The 19,064-nt window shown below is 45.3% G+C and overlaps 1 long non-coding RNA gene across 1 annotated transcript, besides 1 other annotated feature; it reads right to left on the reverse strand.

Annotated features, from left to right (window-relative positions):
* Positions 1-1,743: 1,743 nt before the first annotated feature.
* LINC02452 (long intergenic non-protein coding RNA 2452) lies at positions 1,744-12,386 on the reverse strand. Its single transcript, XR_945239.3, has 3 exons — positions 11,733-12,386; positions 5,213-5,337; positions 1,744-3,154 (listed from the first exon to the last, which is right to left on the reverse strand). It is a non-coding gene; the product is annotated as a long intergenic non-protein coding RNA 2452 (long non-coding RNA).
* Positions 6,197-6,491: a silencer, noted in NCBI's record as "tiled region #6189; K562 Repressive non-DNase unmatched - State 22:ReprW". NCBI's record gives its function as "represses a minimal TATA promoter and a strong SV40 promoter by Sharpr-MPRA in K562 cells {active_cell/tissue: K562}" and the evidence as "EXISTENCE:reporter gene assay evidence [ECO:0000049][PMID:27701403]".
* Positions 12,387-19,064: the final 6,678 nt, after the last annotated feature.

Below are 19,064 nucleotides of genomic sequence, written 5' to 3' on the forward strand. Positions count from 1 at the left end.
GGGTTTGAATGTGCTTGGAAGCAGCCTGGTTCAATGGGTCAGGGCATTTTGATAAGGGTTACAGGTAAGGTAGAATGTGGTGGAATAGTGTGAAAAGCTTTCAAAAACAGTGAAAATCTGTCCAAGAAAATCTGCATAGGAGCTTTACTCTCCTTCTACTTCTTCTCAATTTTATTTTCCCTGGGTCCTTAGACCTTCTTTGGGGCTCATGTAAAGTGCATTCAGGCTCTAACAGATTCCCTATTCAAGAGGTTTCCCAGGGCAGAAAACAATAACAATGGTGACCATAATAATAATGATGGCAAACTCTCTGGCAGTACCTTCTATGTGACAGTGTTTTCTGTATATGAACTCACCTATCCTCACACCAACCCTATAAGGTAGGCATTTTCACTACTTTCTTTCTTTCTTTTCTTTTTCTTTCTTTCTTTCTTTCTTTCTTTCTTTCTTTCTTTCTTTCTTTCTTTCTTTCTTTCTTTCTTTCTCTTTCTTTCTTCTTTTTCTTTTTCTTTCTTTCCTTCTTTCTTTCTTTCTTCTTTTTCTTTCTTTTCTTTCTTTTTTTTTTTTTTGAGACAGAGTTTCACTCTTGTTGCCCAGGCTGGAGTGCAATGGAGAGATCTTGGCTCACGGCAACCTCCGCCTCCTGGGTTCAAGCAATTCTCCTGTCTCAGCCTCCCGAGTAGCTGGGATTACAGGCATGCACCACCATGCCTGGCTAATTTTGTATTTTTAGTAGAGACGGGGTTTCTCCATGTTGGTCAGGCTGGTCTCGAACTCCCAACCTCGGGTTATCTGCCCGCCTCGGCCTCCCAAAGTGCTGTGATTACAGGTGTGAGCCACTGTGCCCGGTTGGCATTTTCACTATTTTCATTTGACAAATGAGGACATTAAGGCACAAAAAGGTTAAATCACTTGTTCCAAGTTTACCTGGGATTAGAAGCCAGGCATTAAGATTCCAAAGATGGATATAATTGCTAGGGCAATTGGTAGAAGAAATGTTCCAGGACCTTCCCCTCCCCTCAACCTTAAACCCCTAGCTACCATAATTTACCACAAAAGCCTCTCATTTTAATAAAAATTTTCCAGCCCTATCCTATGCCCCATTAATTTTAGCCAGTATTCAATGCAGAGAAATAGCACTGCAATGAAAGCTCATGGGCCCAGCTGTTCCTTTAATAGACTTGACCTGAAGACCTGACGTAAAAATCAGTCCTGCTGTCACCTGGTTGAGGCCCTGCTTTGTTTCTGCTAACTAGTCTGATTTCATTGTCACTCATAATCTCTCAATGTTTGTGTCTTTTCTTTTTTTCAACTCTAAATACTTTTATAATTTCACCATGAAAAATCTCCTTTCATGGTGCATTCCCCCCAGATAGTGGTAACCTTTGAAACACACACTGACAACATTCCTAGACCTTCGAATATAGTTAATACTCACTTCAGGCTGAAAGGAATTTCTTATCAAATTAGGGTCTGTGATGACGGTGACCGTTTCTGCACTTTTATAATAGCTTTCATCTGAGGCCTATAGGACACTGTGTAATGTTAATTAGGCCCCTGTGAAGCAGAGAAGGGCACGGGGAAGGTGCAAGGATGGAAATTAACACTGTGCCAAGTACATAACATAAGCCAGAAGTGATACTTCCTTTTCATGTTTTCCATTTTCATCTTCTTAGTGTTGACATGCCCAGAGGACATTAGCATTGGTGACTGATCTGGTTTCCTTGCCCTCTTTCTTCTCTGGTTTAAAGTCTCAGCTATGGCCACTTGCCCTCCAGGCCCATTCCTGTGGTCCTCTGGGTCTCACCTCTAGGCTGCAGAAGAAGTTATTTCCTCTCCCACCACCCTTCCTCTAGTGAAGAGAAGGGTGAGTTTGTCCCCAGGATGGTCTAACCATACCAGTCATGGGAGGAAAGAGAATAAGGAAGGGATTCCATGTGACGAGAGGGGATCCCAGCCAGTGGCTGGCCCAAGCTGGTCCCATTAATGTAATACCTTGACTCATCCCAGGCAAAACCCTTCTCCATCTGGTGCTTATGGTGTGATCCTGAGGATGCCATGTTACCTGTGATCCACTTCATGTTAGGCAAAATGAGGGAGGTTGTGGTTTGAGGGTTTCATGGAGGTTAGGAACCTCCAGGTATGTAGGGTGGCTGAGACATTGAGACACCCCAGTAAAGAAGGGGAGATAAAGCCTGCTACACACCTGGCCTGGGAGCTGGGGAGGGCATGGTTTATGATGAGGGGTGTGAGAACCAGGAAAACCAAGCAAGTACCCAAGATCAGGGTCAAGGTCAAGGTTAGGTCAGAGACTAGAAATGCAACACAGAGTAGAATCACCCAAATAGACCACTGGACTAGCTCTGTGGGAAATAGTTCAAAGTTTTTCAACATGGAAGAGCAATGTAGCACTCTGTAGAAGGCCAGAGGATCATATAATAAGGAGAGTTTGGTGTGGGAGCAGAGCTTGACCATTGTTATTCTTTGAGGAAAATCTTGAGCTGGTTCCATTTGCCTTCAATTGTAGACTCAGAAACTTTTCCTTCTATGGCACTACCTTGCCACGTACACAAAGGCCCCATCCTCCTTCTTGGGGGCTTACAAGCACCATGAGATATTGCATATTAGGTTGACCGCATGGAATCAGTCTTCTTAACTGCAACATAGCCAGGTTTGGAGGCAAAGACAGTTGTTATTCCTGCTAAATGGTCAGTGAGGAAAATGCCAACAGCCCTCCTAGGAAGTCCTCACTGGATGCCAAAGGACAAGACAACCAGTGCAGCCCCGATGCACCGGTGGTGCACAGGCTCATGTGAGTGGATACTGCGTTGTCCATGGATGCTGGGTCTGCTCATGCCCCTGGAGTTTCTTCAGATCTGACCTTCTCGCCCCAGTCCCCATCAGTTCTCCTCCCCACTGGATATCCACAATCCTTGAAGCTCAGGTGGTAGGACTAGTAAGGAATTTGGTTCTCACTCACAATACTTCTGCCCAGTGTTTAATCCTTTCTGAGTCTTTTCCATTTCTCTAATGAACTAAGCTTTTGAAACTCCAAAGTCAGGAAGTCTTTTCCCGGTTCTGTTTTCCACTGTAACATCCTTTCTCTGAGGCAGTCAGTGCAGAAGAGCCCAACTGCTTCAAAGGGCACAGGGACCTGGGCAAGCACCAAGGAGAGAAAGGAAACATTGGGGTTGAAGGAAAGCATTGGTTCATACAATACAAGGAGGTTAAAATATTTTTCTCCCACAGATCTCATTTCTGAGAGGCTGATTTTAAGTTGGTTGTCTCACTTGCGTGGAAACACTCTTTCTATCTACGTGGCTTTTGGCCCGTCTATTGACATCCATATTTAGAACATCAGTTGGGTACCCAAGGATGAGCATGAGTGGGGCAGAGGCGGGTGGCTCCCATCAAATACAGCCCAGGGGGTCAAGAAGCAGGGAGCTCTGGGAGCACAGATACCTCATGGGTCCCCTAGGACCCACAGGGAGGAAGGAGTCTGGAACATTTTGTCCTGCCTGCAAATATCCTCACACAACACAAGAACCACAGGCAGCCACCATGGTTGCAGTGGGTGTGAGGAGCTGGAGTTCCTAAACAAGATGGGGCAGGAGCATGACCTCTTTGGTCTTAGTCAGGACCCTGGATTGAGGATAATGTGACCTGGGAAAACCAGGACCCCACTAGGGTGGAATCAAAATGCTGTTTCTGCTTCTTGTGCTCTTGAGGGTAGTTGGAAATGGATTGTTTCAGGGCTCCATCTAGCAACTGCCCAGTTTCTGAGTCTAAGCTCCAACACGAAGTGTTGACATTGAGTAGGAAGGTCCTTCTGTTTATGGAATACTGTGGTTTATGTAATTCCTATGTTTAAGCTTTTTCTCTAGGTAGTAAAATGATTGATCCCCTCAAAATAGAATCATCTGGGGTTGTTTTTAGATGAAATAAAGCATCTAGACAGACCCTGATTTTTGTTCAAATTGGCTGAATTGGCTGAACTGGGTTAAGTGGAAAATACTAGGTCAACCACAAGCCCACTATGAGTCTTGAGAAATGGACTTAGCTTCTGTCTGGATCCTGTATTACCCTGCCTGAAACATATGCTCTAAGGCAGCTGTGAAAGGGAACTGTTTTGATTTATGTGAGACCCTGAGCGAAGGATTTCAGTTCTCTGAGTGTCCACGCCATTGATGGTACATGCAAACTACACACACTACACACAAACACACACCACATTCACACACACTACACACACACACACACACACCACATTCACACACACTACACACACACACCGCATTCACACACACCACACACACACACCACATTCACACACACACCACATTCACACACACTACACACACACACACCACATTCACACACACTACACACACACCACATTCACACACACTACACACACCGCATTCACACACACTACACACACACACCACATTCACACACACTACACACACACACCACATTCACACACACTACACACACACAGCACATCCACACACACTACACACATGCACCGCATTCACACACACTAAACACACACACACCACATTCACACACACACACACCACATTCACACACACTACACACACACACACACACCACATTCACACAAACTTGTTGGAGTCAGTCAAGCCCCACAGCCCTAAAAGGCACTTCACAAAAGGGTGAATGAGAAGAGAAAGCAAACCTGAGATTCTGTGGGGCAATTGACACCAATCCCCCGTCCCAAACATCCCCATTTAAATGTGATTAATTTGCAATTCTGAAAGATGTCATTTGTGTCAATCCAGGAACGCATTCATTTTGGGGTGAGCGGAAATGTCCCCAATTTCTGGTGGTAGCGGATACATCTGAAAAATGGAATCGAATCAATTTTGCTCCCGAGAGGGACAGGTGGAGGACTCCTATTTCCTGCCAATTCAGTTGGAAACAATGAGGAGAGAGGAAAAAAAATGGAGCCCTCCCTTCTCTTTCTGGCCTTAGACATGAACTCCTGATAAGATCCTGGAAAACAGGCAGCGTTTTTAACAGCCGGTTGCCCTCTTCAGCTGAGAAAACAGCACGAGCCAAAACTAGGAACCGGGGCCACCTCTATTGTGAATGTGGCCAGGCTGACTTATTGTCGCCAAACAGCAAATCATGAAATGACTGAGATAAGGAATATAATCACATTTTCACATGAACCTTACATTCTTACCTCTTCTATAGGAAAGGATATCCCTGCAGGAAGGAGGAAGGTGGGGCCTGCCCATGTTCTGCAGCAGGGCTGGGACTGCATTGTCCAGGCTTTTGTAGGGACACAGGAAGAGGGTACGGAAGTTTCTACAGGAAAACAGAGAAAAGTTCAAACATAAACAGCATCCAAAAAAATTTACCAACAGCAAACTAGATTTCCTCTTTGGGCCTCCCATGCTTCCATGCACCCCTGGACTGGCAGATTTTAATCTTGGATTCTGTTCACCTTGGTAACCTCCAGCGCGTGTGATTATGCTGTTTCCCTACTTATTAAGTTAAAAGGATGTGTTTTCTATGGCAATGGAGACAAAAACAATCTCTTTCCAGAGACTGTATCCTGGCCTGGCCGGAGACTGTTCTGTCTTTTCCATTTGTCATTTCTGGGGAGGGCATGAGCTTTCCTGAAGTTCCGTGTGTGATAGGGCGGCTCCCTTTCAGGAGCATTTGAACAAAAGCTGAAAGTGGCTACATCATTGCTTCCCACGAGGCAGGGGTTTGGTTCGGCTCCCTGGTTTCAGCCAGAGATGAGCTTTGAGAAACTCAACCATAAGGGACACAAGAAATGTATCCTCACTCCACCCCCAAGTAACTAGTGAGGGCTGGAGTTGTCCCTTTCCACCCCGCTTGCCGTCTGTCCTCCCACCCCCCAGGGCTCAGAAGAAGCTGCCACAGGAATCTCGGCTGCCCACCCTGAGGCCGCACAGCTCTGGTTTTAGGGTTATGAAAACCACGGCTCTAACAGGGAGAATTCCATCACTAAATCTGAAAGAAGAGGGCCTAGATGAAACCAGGGAGCAGCTTTGGGGACTCACGCCACCTTATGCCTCGGCCTTGTGTTTTAAACCAAGTCGTTCCTTTCTGCCTCTGGTTACATAGATAGGTGACAAAAAAAAAATTATAGAAAAATGTTATCAGATTCCCTGGTTTTGGGAAGAGGGGCGTGAGGGAAAAGGCCTTCTCAAGGGCAAACTTTGAAATGTAAGAAGTTTCTCTCCACTCTTCTTCCTGACTGAAAGGCTTCACATTGGCTAGGGATCACAGAAGTCACTTCCACACTCGCTGTAATGGGGACTGCCAGGCACTAAAAGGAGCATCCGTCACCTCTCAGATGGGGCCAATCACACATTTCAGGAGCAAACAGTTACAGTTAGTAGACAGATTTCCTAGACACTTGCCCTTATGGGAAATTAAAGTACCCCCTACCCCCCTCAAAATAGCTCATAAGTCTAAGGATCTTCCCCAGCCCATCAGAGGATGGAGTTCTGAGTGGACTGTGCTAGATTTTTAGGGGATATCTTTTTCTGAATTGCTTTTTCCAGAACGAATGACTTCCATTATGTTCAGCCAGGGACCAATTTTTCACTTAAGTATGTAAAGCAAAATATGACTTTTTCCCTGGATATGTTACAACAGAAAGCTTTCCTGACAGCTGCCAGGCAGGTGATTAAAGCGTATTATATAAAAGCCCAGGTACAAGTAAGAGGGTGACCTTGAGTTCTCAAACCAGTGTAAAATGCTATTTAAGATGGATTCAGAGAGCTCTGCTGTGTGTAAGGAATGCCTGCATTTTCAGAAAACAGCAGATGAAGACTCATTCATGCAACACACACGTATTGAACAGCTGTTGCCCTCCAGCCCTACATTCATTCATTCATTCATTCATTAATGCATTCATTCATTCATGTGTTCATTCATTTATAGAAGGTGCCAGGCACTGAGTTACATTTGAAGAACAATCAGGGGTGATTTTCAACACATGTAACAGGAAGGCTTTCACCCTAACTCACCAGTTTTGTTTTTCAGGGTTTCAGGAGGACTTTGGAGATATTGCTGGGCCTGTGCTGGAGGCCCTTTGCTCCTGTGTCAGGTGTTAACCCTTGAGTCACTTGGTGCATTTTGATATTTTAGTAACCACTACAGCTTGCCAGCTGGCTCAGTCCTGAATACAGTAATATACAAGTCCTTGATCTCTGGAAGCCAGCATTTTAGAGTCTGCTACATTTCCAGAAAAATAAGCCTGAGTCCCAAGCTGACCTGAGCCCAAAGTCCTGCATGGGCTTCAGGAGGTTCTCAACTCCCATGAAAAGGAGGCAGCAAGGGCCCTTCTAATCCAAGGCTGAGCATCAGATGGAGCTTGAGCGAGCCAGGGAGTCCTGCTAAGGATGATGAACCAGGAGAGGGACTCCCCTGGCTCTCCAAGCTCTGTTTCTCACAGGACCCAGTAGGGCTGTGGCCTCCACCTGTGGAATCAGGCCTGCCACACTCCAAGACCAGCAGGCCTCTGAGCAGGGGGTCTCTAAAATAGCCCAGCAGATGACTCAGTTCCAAGCTTCCACTTTGATGGTAGGGCTTCTCACCTGTTGCTTTTCTTACAGCCAGCTCTCTTCATACATTTAGGTTACCTGCCTGGCCCCTATGGACATGTGATTCCTCAGCTACCCTCTTCCTAAACACAGGTTTCATTTAGAGTCAAAGTTAGAAGCATATTAACCTAGGCCTGAGCCTGTCTTAACTTATTTTACCCGTAATGAGGGTGAACAGTCATCATTATTGCTCTGATAAAACATGTACAGGAAGTCTAGAAGTATGCAAGGGGCTCACCTCTCTGGTGAATTGTCAGCAAGTATCAGGTTAAAGGAAAACAGTGAGAAGAGAAAGCAATAATGGGCAAATTTAAAGTAACTATTGGAGAAAGCTTATAACAATTGGGAAGAAAATCTTGGATTCCAACAGCCCCAAATCATGTAAGACCTACAATTTCTACATGAGTACCAAACAATCAAGTTATTAGGTTATTAAATGAAATTCACTATGATTACAAATAGTTTCCTGTAAAAGTCCAATATTGTATAAAATATTACTATAAACCAACATTATTGTCTTTAAAACTCATTTACTGGAAACTTTGCATTCAGATACCGGCCATCACCATCTAACTGGTCCCCTTGGAAGACCTGCTCCTTTTCCCATGACACCCCTACAGAAAACATTTTAGAACTCCTTGTCCCAAATCCTTGTGTGGGCTAATCCTCAAAGCCAATTTATAAGTCACTTAGAAAAAGACTCTTATATTGTTTTATATTCATATATTTTGTTTGTTTCTTTGTTTTTTGAGATGGAGTCTCGTTCTGTCGCCCAGGCTGGAGTGCAATGACACCATCTCGCCTCACTGCAACCTACACCTCCAGGTTCAAGTGATTCTCCTGCCTCAGCCTCCCCAGTAGCTGGGATTACAGGCATGTGACACCACACCTGGCTGATTTTTGTATTTTAGTAGAGACGGGGTTTCCCTATGTTGACCAGGCTAGTCTTGAACTCCTGATCTCGGGTGATCTGCCCACCTTGGCCTTTCAAGTGTTGGAATTACAGGCGTGGGCCACCACGCCTGGCCATGTATCTTATTTTTGATCCAAAATAGTAACATCTACTTTTTTCACCATTATCTAGATATTATTTCTGTTCCAAAATGAAGTCTATCAAATAATGAACATTTATTCATACTGAAATTGAAAGAGGCTGGGTGCAGTGGATTACGCCTGTGATCCTAGCACTTTGGGAGAATTGCTTGAGGCCAGGAGTTTGAGACCAGCCTGGGCAACAAAGAGAGACCCTGTCTCTACAAAAAATAAAATAATTAGCCTGGTGTCATGGCATGTGCCTGCAGCCCCAGATGCTCAGTACTACCTGGGTTAGTCACAAAGTATATGGTGTTGAGCAAAAGAGATGTACAGCTAGAATTTGTGCAAAGAATCAGACAAATTACTTCATGGGAAGTTTTTTTTTAAACATTAAGCAAAGATGGTCTTTGTTTCCTGACAACCATGTAGCCCCTGCCTAGTAGATGAGTCGATATAGAATGGGTGGATGCCAGGCAGAAGAAAGAGGTCATTGCTCAGCTTTGAGGGTCACACTCAATTTTTAAATCCATAAGACAGGCTGGGTATGGTGGCTCACACCTGCAGTAATCCCAGAGTTTTGGGAGGCCAAGGCAGGAGGATAGCTTGAGGCCAGGGGTTCGAGACCAACCTGGGCAAAAAAGCGAGACCCCCCCCCCCCATCTCTATAATTGATATATCCATGAGACAATAATCTTAAAAGGCAGGTTTGGTCGGGGAGTGGATGAAGAAAAAGTGGTAGGTGGCAGGGAGGGCAGTGGTTTGCCTTTACCTGCAAGAGGCAAACCTACCGCACAGCTTCACACTGCCTACACTATAGTGTGAGTCAACGGAGACCATGCCACAGAGTCATTCCCACCAGCCAGGAAGGGTGGGAGAAAAGGGAGGAGGACGAAGTGGGAGTAAGAAGAGTGTCTTTGCATTCAGGCCCCTTTGCCATGAGCAAACGTTAGAGCAGGGATGTTGAATGGCCCAGGTGGTGGAGAGGAAGCTGGCTCAGAGAAGGCAGAGCTTTGCTTTCTGCTTGGAACTCAGAGGAAATTGTCTAGCATGGCATCCATGAACTGTGAGGGCAGCCACAGCAGGGGCGAAATGGTGGTGTTGGGCGTGTTTTCAGGGAAAGGAGCCTGTGATTGCTCCCCGTTTCCTCTTGACCTGTGTGTAGCCTGTAGGGAACATCGAAGTTCCCCAAGACATACTCCCAAGACAGCTGAGAATGCAGGCTCGTGAGCTGGCGGGCAGGGGATGATGCCACGGCAAGCCCAGATGTGGCCAAGGGCTGGAGGGCAGAGCTGCCCCCACACAGCCCAGGTGTAGATGCAATGGTGGCTCCCATGAGGGGGTCTTATCCCATGATAGCCCCCCTGGGCCCTGCCCAACACCCTGAGGGCCTCTGACCCACCCCTCCCTGCAGCCGGACCCTGTATTGAGGAGGATGGGCAGGGAAAGCATGCTTTAGAGAAAAGGAAGCAATCCTGATAGGAAGTTTCAACTTAGAATTAACTGATTATTTGGGCGAAACAGATTGTTTTAAGCCGGAAGAGGCAGTTACTTTTCATTGGTAAGTGTAAATTTCTTTTCCCCTCCACTATCAGCAGGAGTGGGAACAGATGAGACCAGTTATAAAAATAAATGTAAACGACATTTTTCAAACAAAAAAACCTGAGCCGTAGTGTGTATATGTCCACACCCTGCTGGTAAGTATGTGATTATAATTAACCATGAGTCCTGTGAAGAGAAAGTCTCTAGTGCTTTGAATGCATTTAATCAGGGCACATAACATAGACTGGCAGGCGGCCCTCGGGGACAGTCACTAGAAGGAAGTGATATTAGAGCAGAGACTGGCTGGAGGGTTAGATAGGCAGGAGAACACGACAAGGGCTGCAGGAGGAAAGAGGCTGGTCCGGGGGGAGAAGGGAGAAGGTTTGCTGAGCTAGAGGGCCAGGAAGGGCCTGCGAAGAGTTGCAGGAGACGAGGGGCGAATGCCAAGTGCCCTTTTAGCTCTTCTTAAGTTTCTAGTTCACTCAACTCAGTATAATCTATTTAAAATGCTCCTCTATTTTTCCAGGGGAAAACAACAACAACTATAACAAACAGTGTGCTTTAGCATTCAGAGATCTTCCGAGAATAAGTAAAGACAGAGGCAACAAGCTTCGAGCCAGGGAGTGGGCCGTGCAGCTCAGGCAGCTGCTGAGAGCTTAGACCGCTGCTGCTGCTGCCCACACTTGCCAGATTCTACAGCCCTCTTGGCCTTCAGACAATCCCATGCCCTGCCAATCTCTCCAACCCTCTGGAGGGCTGGCTCAGAAGCAGGGCTGTCCCAGTCTGGGTGTGGGGGCTCACGCCTGTAATCCTAGCATTTTGGGAGGCCAAGACAGGTGGATCACTTTAGGTCAGGAGTTTGAGACCAGCCTAGCCAACCTGTTGAAACCCCGTCTCTACTAAAAATACAAAAATTAGCTGGGCGCGGAGGTGGGCACTTGTAATCCCAGCTACTTGGGAGGCTGAGGCAGGAGAATCACTTGAACCCGGGAGGCAGAGGTTGCAGTGAGCCAAGATTGTGCCACTGTGCTCCAGTCTGGGCAACAGAGTCAGACTCCATCTCAAAAAAAAAAAAAAAAGAAGCAGGGCTGTCCCTCCTATGGGGCTGAACCAGAACACAAGAGACCATGGAGATAGAGACAAGAGGACCAAGGGCTCCTGGCTAAACCTGGTGTCCCTCTTTCTCGGCATCTGGATTTCTCACGGGCACCAGGGATGCGGTGGCATCACTGAGAATTTTCCTGGCCAGACTAATGGGTCGGAATGGTAGTAAGAGCAGACAGAATCAAGCCTCATGTGGATATAGAACAGCCAACCTGCTCTAAGCCACCGGTACACTGGCCTAGGCTACTATAACACTCTTTTAACTGGTCTTTCTGCTCCCACTCAGTCCACTCTACATTCTTTTTAAAGAGCTATTTTTACAAAATAAATCAGATCATGTCTCTCCTCTGCACAAAACCCTTTAATGGCTCCCCATTTTGCTTTTAATAAAAATTAAAAGTGCTTACATGCCTCCAAGCCCCCACGATTGGTTCTGCTTACCTCCCCTGTGTCAGCTTGTCCCACTTGCTCGTTCCATGCCGTGCACATGATGCTCCTTTGGTGTCTCCAATGTTCCTGTTTTTTTCCTGGAATCTCCTCTGGACCTTCTAGAGCCCAGTTCCTTCTTTTTTTTTTGAGACAGGGTCTCACTTTGTCACCCAGACTGGAGTGTGGTGGTACAATCACAGCTCACTGCAGCCTCAACCTCCTGGGCTCAAGCGATCCTACCACGTCGGCCTTTCAGAGTGCTAGGATTATAGGCATGAGCCACCACACCTGGCCTAGAGCCAGGTTCCTTCTGCCACTCAAGTCTCAGTCCAAACTCCTTCAGGGAGGCTGATCCTGAACAATGTTATCTAAAGTGGCACCTTCCCATTCTCATTCTGTCTTACCACCCTGTTGATGCCTTTCATAGCTTGTATCAATCTAGTATTTTCTTGCTTATTTATTTGCTTATTTATTGTCCATGTCCATTACTAGAATTTGAATTCCTTCAGGGCAGGGACTTTGCCTTGAGCAATTCCTGGCACAAAGGAGGAATTCAATTAGTACTTGTTAGATAAGTACATGAACGAATGAATGAATGTCCTCTTACCAAGGAGAAGCCAAGGTAATGGAATGAGTCTGGACTACAAACACTTCCATTATGTGATTGGCACTGGGGGTGTTGGTGGAAAAAAGACAAATAAAATGTGGGGGCGGAGATGGGAAGTTGGGTTGCCCATAAAATTCGCCCACAATCTCATGACCGAGACAAGAGCAGTTGACTAACCCTAATAGAAACTCTAGAAGAAGTGTTATGGTCGGAACAAAATGTGCTACTTTTGACTGCGGAGTTGAAAATAGTTCACAGATCCAAATGTAGTTCAACAATGCAATGAACAGTAAACTTGGGCATTTACTGTTGTGCAAAACATGGAGCATTTCAAGATGAACAAGACTTGATCCCTGCCCTCAGGGAGCAGACAGTCGCAGGGAGCACACGAAGAGCCAGCCACAGAAAAAACTAATTTGTCTTTAAGGTGATTAAGTATGGAAGTAGCCAGGGGGAAATACACAGAGGGGTTCAGAGGAGGAAGGGATGGGCTCCACCTGAAGAGGGTGGGCAGACTTCAAAAGGTGAACAGGATTTTAGCAGGCTGAAAGGGCTAGGGTAAATGATGGCAGAACTAAAAATACCAGCAAGGAGGTTTGAATGTCCAGTGCGTGGTTCTGCACAGGTTGATGACAGCATCCTATAGGGAACTGGAAATACGGACTAGGAAACAAGTTTGGAAATCCTCAGCAGGTGTTGAAGCCATGGAGCTTGGGAGAGCTCCCAGGAAAAGCATATTAAACCAAGCATGCCTGAAGCAGGAGAACTGGCTGAGATCACCAACAGATGGAAAGGAAAGAAGACAGAGCTATGAGGACAAGCCCTTGGTGAATGCCAGGATTTAAAGGGCACATGGAGGAAAAGGAATCGTCAAAGGAGTGGTCAGAGAAATAGGAACCAGAATTTGGAGAGTTTCAACTCCCAGAATCCAAGAGACGCCTTCTCTGAGGGCTTCTCCACCTCCCTATTCATAACCCCCATCCTATTGGCTGCCACTTATTCAATGTCCATTTCACTAGACAAGAAATAAGGTCCACGAGCATAAGAAATGTTTCTGACTTGTTTATTGCTGTATCTCCTATACCTAAACCAGGTCTTGTCACTTAGTAGAATAGACATATGGACAATTGAATGAATATGTATTCTCAAATTATAAGGAGAGTTGAAAAAAACTAAAAGTTGTGAAACCTTGGATTTGGCAATTTGACATAAACATGATGTTTGACAGACCAATTTTAGGAATGGTGAAAGCCATAAAACTTATGTCACAAGGTTATTTGAATTAAATGAGCTAATATATATAAATGCCTAGCCTAGTGTCTGGATGTAGTTTGAACTCAATAGATGTTAGATAATTAATATTACTCCCTCTAGCCTTCACTTTCAGAAGCTGTTCTGGTGAACTAATTTGATTTGGTTTTTTGTTTGTTTGTTTTGTTTTGTTTTTGAGACAGGGTCTCACTCAGTCTCCCAGGCTGGAGTGAAATGGCGTGATCTTGGCTCATTGCAACCTCTGCCTTCTAGGCTCAAGCGATTCTCCTGCTTCAGCTTCCTGAGTAGCTGGGACTAGAGGCGTGTACCACCACACCTGGCTAATTTTTTGTATTTTTTTGTAGAGATGGAATTTCGTCATGTTGCCCAGGCTGATCTCGAATTTCTGAGCTCAAGTAATCCACCCACCTCGGCCTCCCAAAGTGCTGGGATTACAAGCATGAGCCACTGCACCCAGCCTGGTGAACTAATTCTTTACAGTGGTATTGTATCTAACAGATTTTGTCACTACCCTTCCAAGATATACTAGAGATGTATTGCCTTAAAAATGACAACTACAAAGCACTGCTTTAATTGATATATAATAGATGTACATAGTTTTGGGGTACATGTGATAATTGAATACATTCATATAATTTGTAGAAACCAAATCAGCATACTTGAGCTACCCATCACCTTAAATATTTGTCTATTTTTTATGTTACGACCATTCAAATTCTGTTCTAGCTATTTTGATCTCGAACTCCTGGCTTCTGGTGATCCATCCGCCTCGGCCTCCCAAAGTGCTGGGATTACAGGTGTGAACCACTGCACCCAGCCCTTTTCTAGCTATTTTGAAATACACAATAGATTACTGGAAACTATAGTCACCCTACTGATCTATTAATATCTAATACTAGGTCTTATGTATTCTGTCAAACCATATATTTGTACCCATTAATCAACTTCTCTTCATCTCCCCTCACCCAACCCTTCCTGGCCTCCAGTAACCACCAATCTACTCTCTATCTTCATAAGATTTGCTTTTTTAGCTCCCACACTAAAAAGTATGGGCATGTGACATTTGTGTTTCTGTGCTTGGTTTATTTCACTTAACACAGTGACCTCCGGTTCCATCTGAATTGCTGCAAGCGACAGGGTTTCATCCTTTTTATGGCAGAATAATATTCCATCGTGTATATGTATTACATTTTCTTTATGCATTCATCTGCTGGTGAGCACTTAGGTTGATTCCCTATTTTGGCAATTGTGAATAGTGCTGCAATACATACAGGAGTGCATATATCTCTTCAATATATTGATTTCCTTTCTTTTAGATATATACCCAGTAGTAGAAATGCTGGATCATATGATAGTTCTATTTTTAGTTTTTTGAGTAATCTCCATACTGTTCTCGATAGTAACTGTATTAATTTACATTCCCACCAGCAGTGTATGAGAGGTCCTCTTTCTCCACATCCCCACCAACATCTGTTATTTCCTGGTTCTTTGATAAAAGCCATTTTTAAATTTTTTTTTTAAATTTTTTGTAGAGATGTGGTCTTACCATGTTGCTCAAGCTGATCTTGAACTCCTGGGCTCAAGTGATCCTCCCACCTCAGCCTCCCGAGTAGCTGGGACTACAGGCATGTGCCACCATGCCTGGCTAATTTTTTACTTTTTTTTTTTTTAGAGACAGAGTCTCACCATGTTGCCCAGGCTGGTCTCCAACTCCTGAACTCAAGGGATCCTCCTGCCGTGACCTTTCAAAGTGCTGGAGATCACAGGCATGAGCCACCAGACTGGCCAAAAAAAGCCATTTTAACTGGGGTGACATGGTATCTCGTCGTTTTGATTTGTATTTCTCTGATGATTAGTGACATTGAACATTTCTTCTTATACAAAGCACTATTTTATGAAATACCTTTTAAAAATCCAGCAAAAGGAGATTTGTCTGTCCAATCTAGCTATGGCCTGGGAGCCTAATAGACTCCCAAGGGACCAGAAGATGAAATGGAATCTCCTTTCCTGTTAGGGAGATTCATAGAACTAAGGCAGCTGTGGCCAGCCTTGGAAATAGGGCTTTGGTATTCTGTTCCTAAAGCCATATCAGTCTAAAGAATGGCTCTGACAAGTGGAGTGGCTCAAAAGACTGGCTCTGTCACTAGGTTTGGGTAAAGAAGAAAGAGGCTGCAGGTAGAAAATGTCCTTGAAGGTGTGAAAACATTGGACTGACAAGCAGGAGGCATAGGTTCCCATTCTGGATGTGCCACTAACTCTATGAACTTGACCAAGGCACTTAACTTATTTGTGTATCAGACTCCTCATTTCAAGAATGATAGGCCTGGACAGGCGTGGTGGCTCACACCTGTAATCCTAGCACTTTAGGAGGCCAAGGCAGATGAATTATTTGAGCCTGGGAGTTCAAGAACAGCCTGGCCAGCATGGCAAAACCCTGTCTCCACAAAAAATACAAAAATTAGCCAGGCATGGTGGTGTGCACCTGTAGTCCCGGATACTTGTGGGCACATGAGATGGGGGGATTGCTTGAGCCTAGAAGGTCAAGGCTGCAGTGAGCTGTGTTCATGCCACTGCACACTGGCCTAGGAGACAGAGTAAGACCTTGTCTCAAAAAAAAAGAATGAGAGGACTGCATGAGCATCAAGGTCTTGGCAGTAGGTTGACTATAAAGAGGGCCACAACTTCTCCCATCGCTGCATGTTTGCTCCCTTTGCGGCATACTTTTGCTTTTTCTCCTATTAAGAAGTAGAATCTATTTCCTGTCTCCTTGAATCTGGGCTAGCCCTGTAACTTGCTTTGACCTACAGATTGTAGTAGAAGTAACATTATGTTTGAGTCTGAGCATTAAGAGATCTTGCAGCTTCCACTGTCATTCCTGCAATGATGCTGTACCCATGTGAACAAGCCTAAACTAGCTTCCTTAAGGATGAAAGATAATGTGGAAAGAGAGGCTCAGCCAACAGCCAGCACCAACCACCAGACATGTGAGTGAGGCCATCTCAGATCATCCAACCCCAGTTGAGTTGCCAGATGACCATAGTCACATGTGTGATTCCTGTAAGACCAGCAGAAGAACCGCTTAGCTGAACTCAACCAAATCACAGACCCATAGAGTTGTGAGCAAATAATATGGTTTCTGCTTTAACCCATTAAGTGGTGATTTGTTACATAGGAATAGGTAACTGATACAGCCCCTTTTATATCTGGTACTCTAGAAACTGATTTTATTACTTTTAAGGTATCAGGCTATATGATCTTTTAGTTGGATAGTAGGGTTTGCTGCAGATAACTGGAACAAAGGTTAAGTGACTGTTTCATTTCCTCCCCTCCTACCTCCAGCTTTGACTTTGAAGGCCTTCTCCTTGCAGTGCTGTTATGTGTGGACTTACTAGAGCTAGAGCTCTGCTGCCTTCCCACCCTGTCAGGACTTGGCTTGGAGTACACTGAGAAAACAAGAAGTGGCTTGCGTGACTCAGTGGTCCTTCCTACTGAGTCATTGAGTTTTCAGTTTCCACTCTCTGCTGGTTCCAGGGGATGTTCATTTGTTCATTTAGTCAGTATCTCTGAGCAGCTGTGGTGAGCATGAGGAAGGGTGTGGTGAGGGGAAGGTCTGGCTTGGAGTGAATGGGTGTCAAGGATCTGAGTAGTAGTTTTGCTCAGAGAGGGGCAAACCCACTGCTCCCTTCTAAGCTTTCCTGTAGCATCTCACACACACACTTCTGGGCTTCCTCAGAGGCGGCTCATTCTTAAGGCACAGAATTTCAGAGCTGAGGGAACTTTTAAGGCCAAGTTAGTCCAATCATTTTTTTAAAAATATGTATGAAAAAACTAAGTTCTGAGAAGTTAAAGAACAGAGGTAGCTTGTGGTAAAATTAGGCCCAGAATTCAGACCTATTAGCTCCAAATTTGGAGCTCTTTTTTTTTTCTTTTCTTTTTTTTTTAGATGGAGTCTCGCACTGCACACCTAGGCTGGAGTGCAGTGGCATGATCTCAGCTCACTGCAACCTCCACCTCCCAGGTTCAAGTGATTCCACTGCCTCAGCCTCCCAAGTAGCTGGGACTACAGGCACATGCTGCCACTCCCAGCTAATTTTCGCATTTTTAGTAGAGACAGGGTCTCAGCATGTTGGCCAGGCTGGTCTTGAACTCCTGGCCTCAGGTGATCTGCCCACCTTGGCCTACCAAAGTGTTGGAATTACAGGCGTGAGCCACTGCACCTGGCCTGGAGTTCTTTCTATTGCATTAAAAGACTCCATCAGGCCAGTCATGGGGCTTACACCTGTTATCTCAGCACTTTGGGAGTCTGAGGCAGGAGGATCGCTTGAGTCCAAAGTTTGAGACCAACCTGGGCAACATAGTAAAACCTCCTCTCTATAAAAAAAAAAATAAAAAAAATTAGCCAGAAATGGTGGCACAGCTGCTTGGGAGGCTGAGGTGAGAGGCTCGCTTGAGCCTGGGAGGTCATGGCTGCAGTGAGCCATGTTTGTGCCACTGCACTCCAGCCTGGGCAACTGAGTGAGACCCTGTCTCAAAAGGAAAAACAAAAACAAAAACAAAAACAAAACTCCCTCCAGGGCCCACACCGTCCTTCCTCCTACTAGTCCTTCCCAGCTTTGTATTTCAGGCATGCAACTAGTTTCCTCTTCTGGTTCAAAGTACAGATATAACCTGAGGAATCTTTCCTTAGATAAATTCCAACCACCAAATGATAGTAGGAATAATAACAACAATATACATTCAAAAAATATTTATCGGCCGGACATGATGGCTCATGCCTGTAATCCTAGCACTTTGAGGCCTAGGCGGGTGGATCACCTGAGGTCAAGAGTTCGAGACCAGCCTGGCCAACATGGTGAAACCCCATCTCTACTAAAAATATGAAAAGTTAGTGGGGCATAGTGGCGTGTGCCTGTAATCCCAGCTACTCGGGAGGCTGAGACAGGGGAATCACTGGAACCCAGGAGGCAGAGGCTGCAGTGAGATGAGATTGTGCCACTGCACTCCAGCCTGGGTGACAAAGCGAGACTCCGTCTCAAAAAAAAAAAAAAAAAAAGAAAAAAAAATTATCAAGCCCCTATTATTTGCCAGGCTCTACCTTAGCTTTTGGCAGAAGAGGAGAGACAAGGAATGAACCTGTGGAGAATATATCTTCTTGAGGAAGGTGGGGCAGACAACACACAAGGAAACAAGATAACCAGAGGTTGCTGTTATAATAAGTAAACAGGAGGATGGGATAGAGATGACTGGGCTGAGGAATGTATGATGAGGAAAGGCCTCTGGAGAAATGACATTTGAGCCGAGCCCCTACTGGCGAGGAACCAATCACTTTTCAAGAAAGGAAGAGCTGGCCGGCCGCGGCAGCTCACGCCTGTAATCTCAGCACTTTGTGAGGCTGAGGCGGGTGGATTACCTGAGGTCAGGAGTTTGAGACCAGCCTGGCCAACCTAGTGAAACCACGTCTCTAT

This window comes from Homo sapiens, chromosome 12 (genome assembly GCF_000001405.40).
Source record: "Homo sapiens chromosome 12, GRCh38.p14 Primary Assembly".
Lineage (NCBI taxonomy): Eukaryota > Metazoa > Chordata > Mammalia > Primates > Hominidae > Homo > Homo sapiens.